The sequence below is a fragment of the Homo sapiens genome, chromosome 1, assembly GCF_000001405.40.
Source record: "Homo sapiens chromosome 1, GRCh38.p14 Primary Assembly".
Classification (NCBI taxonomy): domain Eukaryota; kingdom Metazoa; phylum Chordata; class Mammalia; order Primates; family Hominidae; genus Homo; species Homo sapiens.
The window spans coordinates 173,698,438-173,716,487 of NC_000001.11; the positions used below are offsets into that span (position 1 = coordinate 173,698,438).

An 18,050-nucleotide genomic window follows, 5' to 3' on the forward strand; every position below is an offset into this window, starting at 1 on the left:
AAATGTAAAAGAACACAAATCACAACAAACTGTCTCTCAGACCACAGCGCAATTAAATTAGAATGCAGGATTAAGAGTCACTCAAAACCACACAACTACATGGAAACTGAACAATCTGCTCCTGAATGACTACTGGGTAAATAACGAAATGAAGGCAGAAATAAAGATGTTCTTTGAAACCAATGAGAACAAAGACACAATGTACCAGAATCTCCAGGACACATTTAAAGCAGTGTGTAAAGGGAAATTTATAGCAATAAATGCCCACAAGAGAAAGCAGGAATGATCTGAAATCAACACCCTAACATCAAAATTAAAAGAACTAGAGAAGCAAGAGCAAACAGATTCCAAAGCTAGCAGAAGGCAAGAAATAACTAAGGTCAGAGCAGAACTGAAGAAGATAGAGACACAAAAAACCCTTCAAAAAAATCAATGAATCCAGGAGCTGTTTTTTTTTTAAAGATCAACAAAATTGATAGAGTGATAGCAAGACTAATAAAGAAGAAAAGAAAGAACAATCAAATAGATGCAATAAAAAATGATAAAAAGGATATCACCACCGATCCCACAGAAATACAAACTACCATCAGAGAATACTATAAACACCTCTACACAAATAAACTAGAAAATCTAGAAGAAATGGATAAATTCCTGGACACATACACCCTCCCTACACTAAACCAGGAGGAAGTTGAATCACTGAATAGAACAATAACAGGATCTGAAATTGTGGCAATAATTAATAGCCTACCAACCAAAAAAAGTCCAGGACCACATGGATTCACAGCTGAATTCTACCAGAGGTACAAAGAGGAACTGGTACAATTCCTTCTGAAACTATTCCAATCAATAGAAAAAGAGAGAATCCTCCCTAACTCATTTTATGAGGCCAGCATCATCTTGATACCAAAGTCTGGCAGAGATACAACAAAAAAAGAGAATTTTAGACCAATATCCCTGATGAACATCAAAGCAAAAATCCTCAATAAAATACTGGCAAACTGAATCCAGCAGCACATCAAAAACCTTATCCACCAAGATCAAGTTGGCTTCAACCCTGGGATGCAAGGCTGGTTCCACATACACAAATCAATAAATGTAATCCATCACATAAACAGAACCAAAGACAAAAACCACATGATTATCTCAATAGATGCAGAAAAGGCCTGACAAAATTCAACAACCCTTCATGCTAAAAACTCTCAATAAATTAGGTATTGATGGGATGTATCTCAAAATAATAAGAGCTATTTATGACAAACGCACAGCCAATATCATACTGAATGGGCAAAAACTGGAAGCATTCCCTTTGAAAACTGGCATAAGACAGGGACGCCCTCTCTCACCCCTCCTATTCCACATAGTGTTGGAAGTTCTGACCAGGGCAATCAGGCAAGAGAAAGAAATAAAGGGTATTCAATTAGGAAAAGAGGAAGTCAAATTGTCCCTGTTTGCAGATGACATGATTGTATATTTAGAAAACCGCATCATCTCAGCCCAAAATCTCCTTAAGCTGATAAGCAACTTCAGCAAAGTCTCAGGATACAAAATCAATGTGTAAAAATCACAAGCATTCCTATACACCAATAACAGAGAAACAGAGAGCCAAATCACGTGTGACTTCCCATTCACAATTGCTACAAAGAGAATAAAATGCCTAGGAATCTAACTTACAAGGAATGTGAAGGACCTCTTCAAGGAGAACTACAAACCACTGCTCAACAAAATAAAAGAGGACACAAACAAATGGAAGAACATTCCATGCTCATGGGTAGGAAGAATCAATATTGTGAAAATGGCCATACTGCCCAAGGTAATTTATAGACTCAATGCCATCCCCATCAAGTTACCAATGACTTTCTTCACAGAATTGGAAAAAACTACTTTAAAGTTCATATGGAATCAAAAAAGAGCTTGCATTGCCAAGACAGTCCTAAGCCAAAAGAACAAAGCTGGAGGCATCATGCTACCTGACTTCAAACTATTCTACAAGGCTACAGTAACCAAAACAGCATGGGACTGGTACCAAAACAGAGATATAGACCAATGGAACAGAACAGAGGCATCAGAAATAATGCCACATATCTACAACCATCTGATCTTTGGACAACCTGACAAAAACAAGAAATGGGGAAAGGAGTCCCTATTTAATAAATGGTGCTGGGAAAACTGGCTAGCCATATGTAGAAACCTGAAACTGGATCCCTTCCTTACACCTTATACAAAAATTAATTCAAGATGGATTTAAGACTTAAATGTTAGACCTAAAACCACAAAAACCCAAGAAGAAAACCTAGGCAATACCATTCAGGACATAGGCATGGGTAAGGACTTCATGACTAAAACACCAAAAGCAATGGCAACAAAAGCCAAAATAGACAAATAGGATCTAATTAAACTAAAGAGCTTCTGCACAGCAAAAGAAACTACCATCAGAGTGAACAGGCAACCTACAGGATGGGAGAAAATTTTTGCAATCTACCCATCTGACAAAGGGCTAATATCCAGAATCTACAAAGAACTTATACAAATTTACAAGAAAAAAGCAACCCCATCAAAAAGTGGGCAAAGGATATGAGCAGACACTTTTCAAAAGAAGACATTTCTGCAGCCAGCAGACACATGAAAAAATGCTCATCATCACTGGCCATCAGAGAAATGCAAATCAAACCCACAATGAGATACCATCTCACACCAGTTAGAATGGCAATCATTAAAAAGTCAGGAAACAACAGATGCTGGAGAGGGTGTGGAGAAATTGGAACACTTTTACACTGTTGGTGGGAGTATAAACTAGTTCAACCATTGTGGAAGACAGTGTGGCAATTCCTCAAGGATCTAGAACTAGAAATACCATTTGACCCAGGGATCCCATTACTGGGTATACACCCAAAGGAGTATAAATCATGCTACTATAAAGACACATGTATACGTATGTTTACTGCGGCACTATTCACAATAGTAAAGACTTGGAACCAACCCAAATGTCCACCAATGATAGACTGGATTAAGAAAATGTGGCACATATATACCATGGAATACTATGCAGCCATAAAAAAGGATGAGTTCATATCCTTTATAGGGACACGGATGAAGCTGGAAACCATCATTCTCAGCAAACTATCACAAGGACAGAAAACCAAACATGACATGTTCTCACTCATAGTTAGGAATTGAACAATAAGAACACCTGGACACAGGGCAGGGTACACCACACACCGGGGCCTGTCGTGAGGTCGGGAGATGGGGGAGGGATAGCATTAGGAGAAATACCTAATGTAAATGACAAGTTAATGGGTGCAGCAAACCAACATGGCACATGCCTATGTAACAAACCTGCACATTGTGCACATGTACCCTAGAACTTAGAGTATAATAAATAAATAAATAAAAATTTAAAAATTAGAATTAAATTAAAAATTTTAATTTTTGTTAGTGACTTAAAAATCATCATTTTATGATTCGAAGCTCACAATAATAATATAAGATAGAGTGAAAATTAAAAATCAAAGATAACTAGAAATTCAACAGGCAAAGGAGTGGTAATGGCATTCAAAAGAAACATAAAAGGGCATGAAGGCACAAAATAAGTTACAAAGTACACTGGTGAACACGTAAGTGTTTGAAATAGCAGAAAAGTGTATGGTTGGGGCAGAGGCAAGAGATGTGGTTACCTGGATTGGAAAAGATCAGACAGCAACATGATCTTGGAGGGGGATGAGACAGCAGGCACAGAGAGAAGCCAAGAGTGGCTCTCTGGCTTCTATCTTGGGTGACTAGGTAGCCTATGATTTTCTAATTAGAAGATTTTGAAGATCAGGGTTAAAATCAGGATGATGAATGCAGGCTTAGACAACTAGAGGTAGAAGTATCAATGTACCTCCAGCCAACATATATTTGAATTCAAAGTTCAGCAGATATGACTGAGATATAAAAATAGATTTCAGAGTATCATCATATAGGGGGTAGCTAAAACCTTCAAAGAGGATGGGCTCCAAAGCCACCCAAGGTGAGTGTTTATAAGGAGAAGAAAAGAGGGCTAAAGGCAGAGCCTTGGGGAACAACTACATTTAGGGAGAAGGCAAAGGAAGATAGGGAAAAATCATTAGAGAATAAACAGCTTTAGGTGAATGTGGCAACATAGAAGCCAAGGAAGAAGGAGAAGGAGGAAGGAGGAAGGTAGGGGGTAAGTGCCATGATGTCAGGGGCTCTGCACTGATCTTTATTGCTGGCAGTCTGCTGGCTTGCTGGCAGTCTGCTGGCTGTCATTCTGTGTCCTCTTTTTTTTTTTTTTTTTTTTTTGAGATAGGGTCTCACTTTCTTGCCGAGGCTGAAATGCAGTGGTGCAATCACAGCTCACTATAACCTTGAACTTCTGGGCTCATGTGATCTTCCCACTTCAGCCTCCTGAAGTCATTAGGACAATAGACATGCACCACCACCATGCCTGGCTAATTTTTTTATTTCTTTTACAGACAGGATCTTGCTATGCTGCCCAGGCTTGTCTGGAATTCCTGGCCTCAAGTGATCCTCCCAACCTGGACTCCCAAAGCACTGGGATTACAAGCATGAACCACCATGCCCCTCTGTGTCCATTCTTCTTATTTCATTTTTTTGAGATGAAGTCTCATTCTGTTGTCCAGGCTAGAGTACAGTAGCATGATCTTGGCTACCTGCAACCTCCACCTCCTGGGTTCAAGCGATTCTCATGCCTCAGCCTCCCAAGTAGCTGGGGTTACAGGCGCATACCACTCCACTATACCCAGCTAATTTTTTTTTTTTTTGAGACGGAGTCTTGCTCTGTCGCCCAGGCTGGAGTGCAGTGACACGATCTCGGGTCACTGCAAGCTCCACCTCCCGGGTTCACACCATTCTCCTGCCTCAGCCTCCCGAGTAGCTGGGACTACAGGCGCCTGCCACCACACCTGGCTAATTTTTTTGTATTTTTAGAAGAGACAGGGTTTCACCGTGTTGGCCAGGCTGGTCTCGAACTCCTGACCTCAGGTGATCCACCCACCTCAGCCTCCCAAAGTGCTGGGCTTACAGGTGTCAATCACCGCGCCCGATATCTGTGTCCATTCTTATACATCCATTCACATGCCTCTACCTCAGGTCTCCTTTTCCCCTGTCCCCAAATATTTCACCTTCCAGCCAAGCCATTCATTGCAGTTTGTGTGTCTATGTAAATTCTAACCTTGAACCATTTTTCTTTCCACACAAACGTAGGTTTCCCAATGTTCTTGCCCATTTGGAGAATTTCCTCTCACCTCTGCAGTGCAGCTACTGTCCATTTTATGGCTTGCACCAGTGTCCTGATCCAACCCAGTCATGAACCAAGCTCAAGCTTTTTCCCACTCTTTCAGTTGGTCATAAGGCAAGCCCACGCAACCACAGGTGTGAGAGAAGGGAAAGTACTTATGTAACAGTGATGGTCTGATGATGCTGACACTTTGATCTCAGACTTCTAGCCTCCAGAACTGCAAGAAAATAGATTTCAGTTGTTAAAGCCACTTAGCACAGCTGCCCTACAAACTAATGCAGTCCTTTTCCTCCATTATGGGTCAAGCATGTCCCTAGCAGGGTTATGTTGTAACTTAATCTGGTTATTGCCTTAGTGGCAAGGCAGGAAAGTGGGGCTGATCTTGAAAGGGCTCATGTCCCGCGGTGGGGAGGCCTTTTCAACTTCAAGCAAGGAAGGAGCACTAGCCCTAGGGAGGAGAGGGCCACTTCTCTAGGCTCAGAGGGTTCAGGGAAATTTGGGAATTAAAGATTTGGGGGTGCATGAACATAGATGTCCCCATCCCATGTGTCAAGATCCCACTCTTTCCCAACTAGCACCCTGTTCTAGGCAGAGCCAACTTGCCAGTAGTAAGAATTTAATCTTCCTTGAGGTCCTGCAACTCTTACAATTAAGTCCTGGACCTAGCCCTCAGCTTTTCCTGCTTTCCAGTTGCAGATAAGAGCCTCTTTATTTCTTAATGAGGAGGCCCTTTGGCTTTCATGCTTAGTTTTTAATTGTCAAATTAATCACTTTCAACCTTTCATTACATTTCTTCAAAATATCAAATAAGCTTAACATCAGCCCACTCATATTTCCCCCATACATCTCAAACATCTGATCCACTGAACCTACTAGGGTGTTTCCATCCACCAGAAGATACAGTTCAGCAGCAGTGAAGTTTGAACAATTGCACTTCAGTTGTGCCAAGGACTGTCTGTGCTTCTTTCTACCACAAGTGTTGATATTCTCATTGCTAGCCTGGAAGCAGGTGGTCCAATACCAAAATCCCATTATAGTGACTGCTTTCTTGAACCACTCCTGACACTAACTGTTGCAGTTGGACTCCTCTGGAAGCATATTCTGAGATGGAGTTTAGTATGTAATTTATTAGAGAGTGCTTTTGGGACCAATACTTGTGAAAAGAAAGGGACAGAAGCAGGGCAGAGGGAGAAGCTGGGCTGTACTGTAGTTTCAACAAAGGCCTCTGCAGCCCCTCTGGGAAGCTCTGACGCTGGGATGATCCTTCAGAGTTATCCCAAGTAGGGGCAACAGAGCTGTGCCTTTACATCCCAGCATTGACCAGTGATTGAATGCAGGCTGTCCCAGAGAGGGAGTGAGACCTTGGTCAGGCCACTCTTTTTCAGTCAAAGTGCCTCCCAAAAAGGACTGACAGCAGAGCTCTCTCTGTCAACAGCACTTCTAGCATCCGGTGGATTGTGTCCCTCATTCCTGAAGGATGTCTGGGTGGTACATTACAGCATTAACTATGTGCCACCAACTTGACATAGTTAGGTCCATTTATTCTTCAATATTTAGGGATGGCTTTTTTCTCTTTTGATTAAATTTTCTTTAAAAATTTTAAAGATATTAAAATAAATGCCTTTTAGTAAAATAAAAATAAATATTAAGTAAATAATAAAATTTTATTTAAATAAAAATAGACGGCCGAGCATGGTGGCTCATACCTGCAATCCCAGCACTTTGGGAGCCTAGGCAGGTGGATTGCTTGAGCTCAGGAGATCGAGACCAGCCTGGGTACCACGGTGAAACTCTGTCTCTATAGAAAAAAAAAAAAAAAATTAGCCAGGTGTGGTGGCATGCGCCCGTAGTCCCAACTATTTGTGGGGCTGAGGCAGGAGAACTCCTTGAGCCCAGGAGGCTGAGGCAGCAGTGCGCTGTGTTTGCACCACTGCACTGTAGCCTGGGTGATAAAGTGAGACTCTGTGTTAAAAAAAATTAAATAAATAAAAATAGATTTTGCTTAAGTGAATTTTTTAATTATTAAGAACATTTAATAAATAAAAATATAAAGCCTAATACTTTCAAAATCTGGCTGCCATCCCTAACCTTTCCTACCCTGGTCTCTCCTTTCCCCTGTAGGTAACCATTTTTATTAATTATCCATTTATCTTTCAATTTATATATATATGTAAAATTTTAAACTATAAATACATATACACTTATATACACTCACACTATATTTCTACCCATTTCTTAATCAAAGTTAGCATGCTATAAACACTGTTCACTTGGTTTTCATTACTTAACAACATGCCTGAAGAGTATGCCATTAAGAGATCTTCCGGCTGGGCGCAGTGGCTCACGCCTGTAATCCCAGCACTTTGGGAGGCCGAGGCGGGTGGATCACAAGGTCAGGAGTTCGAGACCAGCCTGACCAATATGGTGAAACCCTATCTCTACTAAAAATACAAAAATTAGCTGGCATGGTGGCGTGCGCCTGTAATCCCAGCTACTCAGGAGGCTGAGGTAGGAGAATTGCTTGAACCTGGGTGGTGGAGGTTGCGATGAGCTGAGATTGTGCTACTGTACTCCAGCCTGGACAACAGAGCAAGATTCCGTCTCAAAAAAAAAAAAAAAAAAGATCCTCCTTGTTTTGTTTTGCTTTTAATTTTTTTTTGAGACCAAGTCTCACTCTGTCACCCAGGCTGGAGAGCAGTGGCACGATCTCAGCTCACTGCAACCTCCGCCTCCCAGGTTCAAGCAATTCTCCTGCCTCAGCCTCCCAAGTAGCTGGGATTACAGGTGCCCACGACCATGCATGGCTAATTTTTGTATTTTTAGTAGAGACGGGGTTTCACCATATTGGCCAGGCTGGTCTCGAACTCCTGACCTCAGGTGATCTGCCCACCTCGGCCTCCCAAAGTGCTGGGATTATAGGCATGAGCCACCCCACCCAGCCCTTTGTCATTTCTTTTTATAACTGCATAGTCCTCATTATGTAGATATCCCATTGTTTATTTAATCAGCCCCCTAATAAGAGTCTTTTAGATTCTTTCTAATTTTTGTTATTACAAAGTATCCTGCAGTGAATAACCTTGTGCATAACTTATTTTATTTTTGCAAGTGTTTCCTCAGGATAATGGAAAAAGGTCAATGCAAATGTCATTTTGCTAGATCTTGCCAAATCCCCCTCCATAGAAGTTTTATCATTTTGCACACACTGGTCACAAATGAGTGCATTCTTCCCCACAGTTGTGTCAGAAAAACAGGTTGTGCCATTTCAGATTTTTGCCTACTTTATAGGTGGTAAATGGGTCTCAAAATAGACACAATTTGCATTTATCTTATTATGAGCAAGATTGCTCATGATATATTCATAATATATTTAAATGATTAAGGGCATTTTCTTTTTCTGTAAACTGGCTGTTCATATATTTTGCCCATTTATGTTATTTGTTTTTTTCTCTATTTTTAGGAGTCATTTATATATTACATTATGAACGCTTTATGATATATTAATATATTGCAAATGTGTTTTTCCTAATTGTCATTTTTTTTTACTACATTTATCTTTGTCCCATGGAAATTTTTTTTATGCAGTCAAATTAATCAATCTTTTTGCTTCTAGATTTTGAGTCATATTCAGGGAAGTGTTTCTCCTTTTTTTTTTTTAGACAAAGCCTTGCTCTATCACCCAGGCTGAAGTGCAGTGGTGCGATCTCAGCTCACCATAACATCCACCTTCCAGGTTCAAGTGATTCTCCTGCCTCAGCCTTCCAAGTAGCTGGGATTACAGGTGCCCGCCACCATGCCCAGCTAATTTTTGCATTTTTAGTAGAGACAGGGTTTCACCATGCTGGCCAGCCTGGTCTTGAACTGCTGACCTCAAGTGATCAGCCCACCTTGGCCTTCCAAAGTGCTGGGATTACAGGCATGAGCCACCACGCCCAGGCTCTCCACTCTTAATAAGGAAATTCACCCATATTTTCTTATATTATTTTTACGCTTTCATTATTACCTTAAGCTTTCAAATACATTTGATTGATGTGGGGTATAAAGAACCAGCCTTCTAACTCCAACTCGTGACAAATATAAAGGACCATCCCAGGCTCAGATCTTCCCATAGGGTCTTCAGAGGACTTTGTTGAGACTGCAGTGAAGTCTAACTCATTATATAAGGAAATAAATCCAATTTCTTACGTTTCCATAGTTGTACCAGCATCATTTATTAAACAGTGCCTATTGCCCCACTGATTTGAGATCACATACTAAATTTCCTTATGTTCTAAGGTCTATTTCTGGATTTCTTACCCTGCTGCATTTATCTGTTTATATGCCCAAACCACAGTTTTAATTATAGAGGTTTTAGAACATGTTTTAATAATATCTCTTAGGGTTAACCCTTCTCTCAGCTATTTCTATTTTTAGAGTAAGAGTATTTCTGGTTATTCTCATTTGTCTTTTCTTCCATATTAACTTTATAATCAACTTATCTAGTTCTGTAAAAACTCTGATGTTGATTTTATTTGGTGCTATGGTTTGACTTATGGATGGTGTACTCTCCAAATTTCATGTTGAAATGTAATCCTAAATGTGACATTATTAAGACATATGGCTTTTGGGAGGTGATTAAGCCATGAGGGCTCCACACTCACGAATGGGATTAGCTCCCTTATGGCTCAGGTTTGAAGGAACATTCTCTTGCCTTTCTGCCATGTGTGGAAACAGCATTCATCCCCTCCAGAGGAGGTAGCAGCAGGACAACATCTTGGAAGCAGACAGCAGCCCTTGTCAGACATTGACAATGCTGGTGCCTTGATCTGGGGCCTCCCAGCCTCCAGAACTATGGGAAAATAAATTCTGTTCTTTGTAAATTACCCAGTCTAAGGTATTTTGCTACAGAAGCACAAACAAACAAAGACACTGGATTGCATTAAATTTATAAATTACTTTATGGGGCACTGTTATCTTTATGAAATTGAGTCAACTTATCCAATAATGTGGAATGACTTTCTATCTGCTCAAATCTACTTTTGCTTATTTCAGGAATGTTTTATAGTTTTCCCCATATAGGTTTCACATAACTAATAACTCTAGACTGAGAAATTGTAAAGGATTTAGATTCCATCTTATAGATGAGAAAACTGAGAACAAGAATGACCAAGTGATGGCTTCAGATTACAGGATTAGCACTGGGACCCCGGTCTTCTAGCTCCCATCGTAGTGCTCTCTGCTGTACCACCCTGTAAGCACCCTAGAATTCTATAGCAGCATCAAGAAAACTAGGAAAATGCTTTGTCATTGTCTTACTTGTGCATATTCTTCCTGCTCTGTTCCTGAACTTTCCAAAATACTTTCTAATTTCACCAGCTTTGTGTCATGCCACTCTCCCAAGTGCACCCTGGCCAACCTGTCCTTGCCTCTCTGGCTTTAGTGTCTTTCCCTGGAACATTCCTCCTTCCCTTTCAACTCATGGGGTTTTAGTCAAGTTGTCAGCAAAGTCTGCAGTTTTATCTAGAGGTTCAACTGGGAAAAGATTCACTTCCAAGCTCACTCATGTTGCTAATGGCAGGATTCAGCTTTTCATGGGCTATCGGACTGAGACCTTCAGTTCCTCTCTGATGGCCAGAAGCCTCTCTCAGTTCCTTGCCATACAAGGCTTCTCACAGGGCAGCTCACAATATGGTAGCTTACTTCCCTCAGAAAAAGCTAGGGAGAGATGACATCTGAGACAGAAGCCACAGTCCTTTAATAACCTAATATTAGAAGTACAATTCCATGACTTTTGATATATTCCATTTGTTAGTCACTAGGTTCAGCCCACACTCAAAGGAGGGGATTACATGAGGGCATGAACACCAAGAGGCATAGAAGACTTAGGGCCATCTTAAAGGCTGCACACCACACTTTCTGTTACCCTCTAGACCATATCTGGGCACCCTACTAGATGTTTTCTTTTTTTTTTTCTTTTAGACAGGGCCTTACTCTGTTGCCCAGGCTGAAGTGTAATGGCACAATCACAGCTCACTGCAGCTTCAACCTCCTGAGCTCAAGTGATCCTCCCACCTCAGCCTCCCCAGTAGCTGGGACTAGAGGCATGTGACACCATGCCCAGCTAATTTTTAATTTGTTTGTAGAGACAAAGTCTGCCTATGTTGCCCAAGCTGGTTTCAAACTTCTGGGCTCAAGCAATACTTCTGCCTGGGTCTCCCAAAGAGCTGGGATTATAGGCATAAGCCACCCTACTAGGTGTTTTCTTAGCACCCAGTAGATCACTTTCAATTACCGCAATCGTAATTAAACAACTAATTATGTAATTCATGGTTCAATTTTATACTGTCTGTCTCCTCAAGAATAAAAATTCGCTGGGTGTGGTGGCTTATGTCTCTAATCCCAGCACTTTGGGAGGCCAAGGTGAGAGGATCACTTGAGCCCAAGAGTTCAAGACCAGCCTGGGCTACATAGTGAGAACTCGTCTCTACAAAACAAACAAACAAACAAAATAGCTGGGCATTGTGGAACACTCCTGTGGTCCCAGCTACTGAAGAGGCTGAGGTTGTTACCGGTGGTGAATCCATATGGGTCTGCAGCAGCCTCAATTCTTGCCTCCTCAGAAGAAAGAATTTGACTGAGGGGCATGAAGCAGAAGAGATGGAGGCAAGTTTTAGAGCAGGAGTCAAAGGAAGGAAAGTACATGTGGAACAGGTCCAAGCAGGCAACTTGAAAACAAGTGTGAAGTTTGACCTTCTGACTTAGCATTTTATATGCTGGCATGCTTCTGGGGTCTTGCATCCCTTCTGCCCTGATTCTTCCCTTGGGGTGGGTTGTCCGCATGTGCAATGGCCTGCTAGTGCCTGGGAGGGGAGCATGCAGAGTGTGTTTACTGGAGTTGTACACATGCTCACTTGAGGCGTTCTTCCCATTCTGGTGGAATGCCCCTGGAAGGTCATATACCAGCTAAACTCTGCCATTTTGCCCTTTAATGCACATGCTGGAGCCCACTCACCCAATTCCTGAGATCTTATTGAGACGCTGCCACCAGTTTCAGGTGTTTTTATCTACTGGGAAACTGCCTTTCCCTGGTGCTGTTTGCAACCAATTATTATATTAGAGAGGCAGCGTGACAACTGCCTGACCATCACCCGATGGTCACCTGACATTCCTGGTGAGGTGCGGGAGAAGCCCTCTCCTGCCTTGCACATGCCTGGCTAGCCACCTACTGTAACAAGGGGAGAGGATCACTTGAGCCCAGGAAGCAGAGGCAACAGTGAGCTGTGATTGCACTACTGCACTCCAGCCTGGGTAACAGATTGAGACCCTACTTAAAAAGAAAAAAAAAGAAGAAGAATGAAAATTCCACAAACAATGGGCCCTGTGGGTCTCACCTACAACTAAACCTTAGGTCCAACCACTGTATTTTATACATTGGAAACAAGATATAATTTTTGATTGAAAAACTATAAGGTAAGCTCAGCAACCCCTGAAAAGAATTATTTGGCTGTTGTCACTACCTCATACCTGTGAACCCCGAAAATCTGAGACAGGTCTCAGTTAATTTAGAAAGTTTATTTTGCCAAGGTTGAGGATGCACCTGTGACACAGCCTCAGGAGATCCTGATGACATGTGCCCAAGGTGATCAGACCACAGTTTGGTTTTACACATTTTAGGGAGACATGAAACATCAATCAACATATGTAAGATGAACTTTGGTTCCGTTTGGAAAGGTGGGACAACTCAAAGCAGGGAGAAGGCTTCCAGGTCATAGGTAGATAAGAGACAAATTGTTGCATTCTTTTAAGTTTCTGTTAGTCTTTCCAAAGGAGGCAATCAGATATGCATTTATCTCAGTGAGCAGAGGGGTGACTTTGAATAGAATGGGAGGCAAGTTTGCCCTAAGCAGTTCCCAGCTTGACTTTTCCCTTTAGCTTAGTGATTTTGGGGGCCCAAGATATTTTCCTTTCACACACCCAATCTAAATAAAATCTATTTCATGTGTATTTTCCACTAGAAATTCAGGCTCCCGAAGGGCATAGTCTTACTCAGGTGGCAGAAAAACTGTAATTACTGCAAATGCCAGGTTTACCATAAACACATCTCTAAATGGAGTTCTCTAGGTCTTGACATAAATAAAAAGGGTTGATTCACACTGAACTTCTCCACTTCAAAAAGAAACAGAGTAGCAGAAGCACAAACCAGATTGCAGTGGGTTGGGGAGTGAATCACAGATATACAAAAATAGGAGGGACTGCTCTTATCCTGGACAGGAGTTTTAAAATCAGTCTTTGGTTAGCAGCATTTTTAGTAACATTTTTATACCATATAGTAACATTTTCATACCTATACTATGAATTATAAAAATAGTTTAATTCATATTACGGAAAAAATAGGAGTCACTTTGAAGGTATCTTTTACAATAAGCAATTCACAGAAGGGAAATCTGAATGCCACTTTCACATATGAAAAATGTTTGAACAGTAATGAGAGAAATAAACATTTAAACCACAGTGAATTACCATTTTATACCCAACCAATTGGCAAAAACAAATTTAAAGTTGGAAAACACCAACTGTGATGATAATATAGACCAACAAAAACCCTCAAACACTTGTAATGGAGAGACAACACAGCACTGTAGCTGAAAGCACAGACTCTAGAGCCATTGTGTATGGTTTCAAGTTATTGCTCTACTTCATAACTAGCTGTGTGACTTTGGGCAACTTACATAACATCTTGGTGCCATCTGTGAAACTGGAATGATGATAATAGATCCTACCTCGAGAGGACTAGTGTGAGTATTGATGAGTTACTATAACATGCTACATAAGTATTTGCTAGTATTATTATTACTGAAATAGAATAATGACTTTAGAGAGCAATTTGACTAGTGCTAATACAGTTGAAGCTGTGCATAGCATACAACCCAGCAATTTTGCTTCTGCGTGCACACCCCAAAGAAACACCTACAGGTGTACACAAGGAGGTATATGCAAGAATTTACATTGTAGCACTGTTTGTAATGGAGAAAACTGGAAATAGTCAAAATATCCATCTGCAGAAAAAAATGTTTTAAAAAATCTATGGTATATTCATATAATAGAATACTATAAAGCAGTGAAAATAAATAAATTAGTGCAGTAGTTCTCAAATTTTACCATGCACTATAATCACCTGGAGAACTTGTTAGAACACAGATTACTGGGGCCCACCTTCAGTTTTTGATTCAATAGGTCTGTAATGGGGCTCAAGGGTTAGCATTTTCCAAGTGATGTTGATGCTGCTGGTCCAGGACAACACTTTGAGAATCACTGAATTGGACCTTCATTGATCAACATGGACAAATCTTACAAACAGAATGTTGAGTGGAAAATGGAAGTTGCAAAAGAATACATATGCTTTGATACCATTTATGAAAAGTTTTAAAATATGGAAAAGAAATCATTTTACTGCATATGTATATATATCACATATACACATGCAGTAAAAATTTTCAATAAGATCACAAAGCTAGTCAGTTACAGGTCTAGGATTTGTACCTATGTGTATCCGTGAAATCGCCTTTGCAAACTGAAACCCCCTTTGCAAAAATTCTATCAGTGAGAAAATTATAGCAGTGGAGGAGATCTGATCTAGCCAAACCCCATCTTGCCTTTAGCTTTCAGTCTGTCCTTAATTATTCCTGGGCTTAAGCCAAGATAACTTTGGGAGACATTTAGTTTAATAGTTTAAATAATTACAGTCCTTCCCCAAAACTCAATTGCCTTTGTAAAGCTAATGAGAGACCACCAGACAACGGGGATAGATGAGCCTGAATTCTGTTAAGTGTAGACATAAGTGATTGCCAGCCATTATTCCAGAGGTCACAAGATATGCAACTTCCCCAATTACTCCTACAGATAACATCACTATTGTAGAATCTAGGATTGGCCTTTTTGGGTATATTTTTAAGTTTTTTGCATGTTTGACTACTGATGGCTCCACCTGGACCCACCAACTGTTCCTGTGGCTCCACCCAGAAACAACTCAGTAGGCAGGAGGACCATCTCCCATACCCCTATGACTGCACCAGTCAGCAGCAAGCACCCATTGCCTAGCCACCCCTACCCCTTTCCCCAGACTACCTTTGAAAAGAAACCTAGCCCCCAAATGCTCCAGGAGGCCGATTTGAGTAATAATATAACTGATTTGAGTAATAATAAAACTTCTTCCATTTTTCCACTCGATGTTGTGTAAAACTCTTTCTCCATTGCAATCCCTATACCTTGATAAATCATCTGTATCTGGGCAGCAGGCAAGAAGAATCCACTGGGCCACTATATCTGGATCTAAAGGCCATGTATTTTCCACTACAAGCTAATTAACAAGAGGTATCCTTTCCCCTCAGAAACAACTGGACACACCTGTGTAGATTCTACATAAAGAACAGCTAAAGAAAATCTGGTTAATACTTAGCCTAGTATACTTACCAGGAAATCAGCAACAGTCTTTCTCTGATATTCCTGAAATTGTAATCCCCACCTTACACTTGTATCACTTGTTTTCTAAATATTAATATACGGTAAAAATCAGGTGGCTGTGTGCTATGGGAAAATCTGGAGGAAAAGATAATTTTAAAAATATACTTTTTTGGCTCTGCTTGCTACTGAAAAAAAATTTTTTTAAGAAAATATACTCTTCCCTCCTTAACATTAAAGTGAATCCACAGAAGATGTGTTTGGTGAAGTGTCTGGTGGTGAATACTAAGTAGAAAGGGCAGACTAACACAGCCTTAGAGCCTGGATAAAATCCTGGTGTCCTGAAAGTTTGACCGTGGGAAATCTGGAGGATAAGGTCTATCTCTGGTCTGTCTATCTAACTTCTGCACCTTGCACATAGTAGAGGCCTGACAGATACATGCCAACCCATGTGTGCATGCAATAATTCAATCCACAATTAGGAACATTGTGCCAAAAGGAGACCCACCAACTAAAAAGAAATACAAATTCTTAGCTTTCTGTGACTACCCTTTACTGCCTTTGCTGGCGAAAACAAAGAAGAAAAGAGGAGGCTTCAGTATTCAAATACTGCCAGTTCCGCAGTGAATTCTAAAAATGGTTACTCTTGGGATACAAGGAACCCCCACGAGGATAAACAACCTCTGAGGTTACCTGAATGCCCCAGCAAAGGGCACGACTACTTCCGGAGCCGCACCGGAACCCCTTGGCGGATTATGTGGGTTCCTGCGGGAACGATTTAAGAATAGGACTACTTCCTGCTTCTGGATATGGGCCGGTGAAGGGAAAGGAAATAGCTCTACGAGCGGCATCCTGCCTGCGTTAGCGGCGGTGGAGGAGGAGGCAGAGAGGAGTGGAGGGCGGAGTAGACGGAGGAGGCTGCTGCAGAGAAGAAAGTGTCAGAGCCGGTAAGTGAGCCAGTCACCTTAGAGCAGGGGACAGCGGACAGCGCCCCAGGGCTCGCTTCGCAGATATGTGGTCCCAAGTTGCTGAGCTGCCCCATGGGGTCAGGTCGGTCGCCTGTCAGTCGGCGCCGAGAAGAGACTGTTGGGGCGCTGGGGCCGGGCCTCGCGGAGCGCCAGAGTGCGCTCTCGCTGGCTGACAGCCTATCTCGGGAGCCAGAGGAGGCCCCGGGCTTTGTCCTGCCTGGTGGTGCTGGGGTTTCGCATCCTGGACAGCTTCCCCAGACAGTGTTTGGAATTCAGGGAAGGAAGAAAGTACGTGCGCCCCCATTTAACCCTCGGGACCTGGCGAAATCCTGCTACGTGGGTAGTGAACATTGTATCGGGGACTGAAGGAAATGCTTGTAAAGAGTGTTAGTCTGGAGCCATACTTTCCCTGCCCTGTTCAAGCTCCCTGGACTGTCGGAAGCGGAGTTGTTTGTAAAGGCAAATGCAGACGCCTCCTCCTCCTGTCACTTCGGGACAAGTTAACAATCTTCAGATTCGTTATTAAAGCCTCGTGTACCCTATGTGATCTATCAGGTTAGTACTGCTGTGGGTATCTGGTGCTTGTTCTGTAAATATACTTGATGTCGAGATCACAGTTAAATATCTCCAAGCACTTTTTGAAGAGAAACAAGACTGACCTAACAGTCGGGACTATTTAGCATACTTTCCCTCACCTTTACTTTAATCGTTTTAGCATGCAGAGTAAGGATGGTAATCTTAAATGTACTAGATTAAGTTATTGTGCATCTGCAGAAGGCCTGTGGTATAATAGGATATGAAACTCTTGATAACTGACGAAATGAGTGAAATGATTATATAAAGATTGTTACTGTAAAGATCAGAAATAGCTTTTATTAAGTTCCTGCTTTTCTGTTGTCTTAGGTTCGGCTTTAGAGTGTGGTGAAGGGTACTTTTCATGGTGCATGGAAGGAAAGCCAATGCGCAGGTAGGCATTTAGGAAGAAAACCTTTGGTTTCACTGATTAAAATTCAGCATGTAATAATTTAAATTTTTAAAAAAGAGTTTCAATCTTACTAAATTCTGCTTGGAACTAATGAGTCTTGTTCTACAATAAATCAAAAGTAATATTAAGAATTAATAGCTTTTTAATAGAATAAAATACAGAAGTTGTTTCTGAAAAGTGCTGTGGATTGTATGTAGTGCTAAACACTTAAATTTTCCTTTTTTCATGTTTTTTACAGTAAATAATCATTAAGTTCATTATGATACTATATGGATTTATTATAATCTTCAGTTCCCTATAAAATGTAGAGGATTCTGTTCCCATGTAAGAATCATAATTATTTATAATATACTGTACTGCATGCCTAATTATGGTTTTGGTTATTTCCTTGATGTTCAATCAT

General features: G+C 41.1%; 2 protein-coding genes across 11 annotated transcripts in view, besides 2 other annotated features; one reads left to right on the top strand and one right to left on the bottom strand.

Annotated features, from left to right (window-relative positions):
• Window positions 1-16,748, bottom strand: part of ANKRD45 (ankyrin repeat domain 45) — a 106,850-nt gene extending 90,102 nt beyond the window's left edge. Inside the window, exons 1-3 of one of the 3 annotated variants that reach the window (XM_017001123.2) lie at window positions 16,659-16,741; window positions 6,967-7,058; window positions 5,268-5,477 (exon numbers count right to left, since the gene is read on the bottom strand). The gene's annotated coding sequence lies outside the window, so the exon portion shown is untranslated. Of the gene's footprint in view, window positions 1-5,267; window positions 6,335-6,966; window positions 7,059-16,658 lie in introns of those variants that run through there. The other 2 variants (XM_047419206.1, XM_047419195.1) reach the window with 2 other exon arrangements.
• Window positions 16,448-16,637: an enhancer, noted in NCBI's record as "active region_2114". NCBI's record gives its function as "activates an Ori minimal core promoter by ATAC-STARR-seq in GM12878 lymphoblastoid cells {active_cell/tissue: GM12878}" and the evidence as "EXISTENCE:reporter gene assay evidence [ECO:0000049][PMID:35858748]".
• Window positions 16,544-18,050, top strand: part of KLHL20 (kelch like family member 20) — a 71,712-nt gene continuing 70,205 nt past the window's right edge. For 4 of the 8 annotated variants that reach the window (XM_017001052.2, XM_017001053.2, XM_047418030.1 and 1 more), the window contains exons 1-2: window positions 16,544-17,217; window positions 17,566-17,629. In XM_017001052.2, the coding sequence (XP_016856541.1) occupies window positions 17,034-17,217; window positions 17,566-17,629 (248 nt within the window). In that variant the 5' untranslated portion in view covers window positions 16,544-17,033. The remainder of the gene's footprint in view (window positions 17,218-17,565; window positions 17,630-18,050) is intronic. The other 4 variants (XM_005245093.5, XM_024446468.2, NM_014458.4 and 1 more) reach the window with 2 other exon arrangements.
• Window positions 16,718-17,087: an enhancer, noted in NCBI's record as "active region_2115". NCBI's record gives its function as "activates an Ori minimal core promoter by ATAC-STARR-seq in GM12878 lymphoblastoid cells {active_cell/tissue: GM12878}" and the evidence as "EXISTENCE:reporter gene assay evidence [ECO:0000049][PMID:35858748]".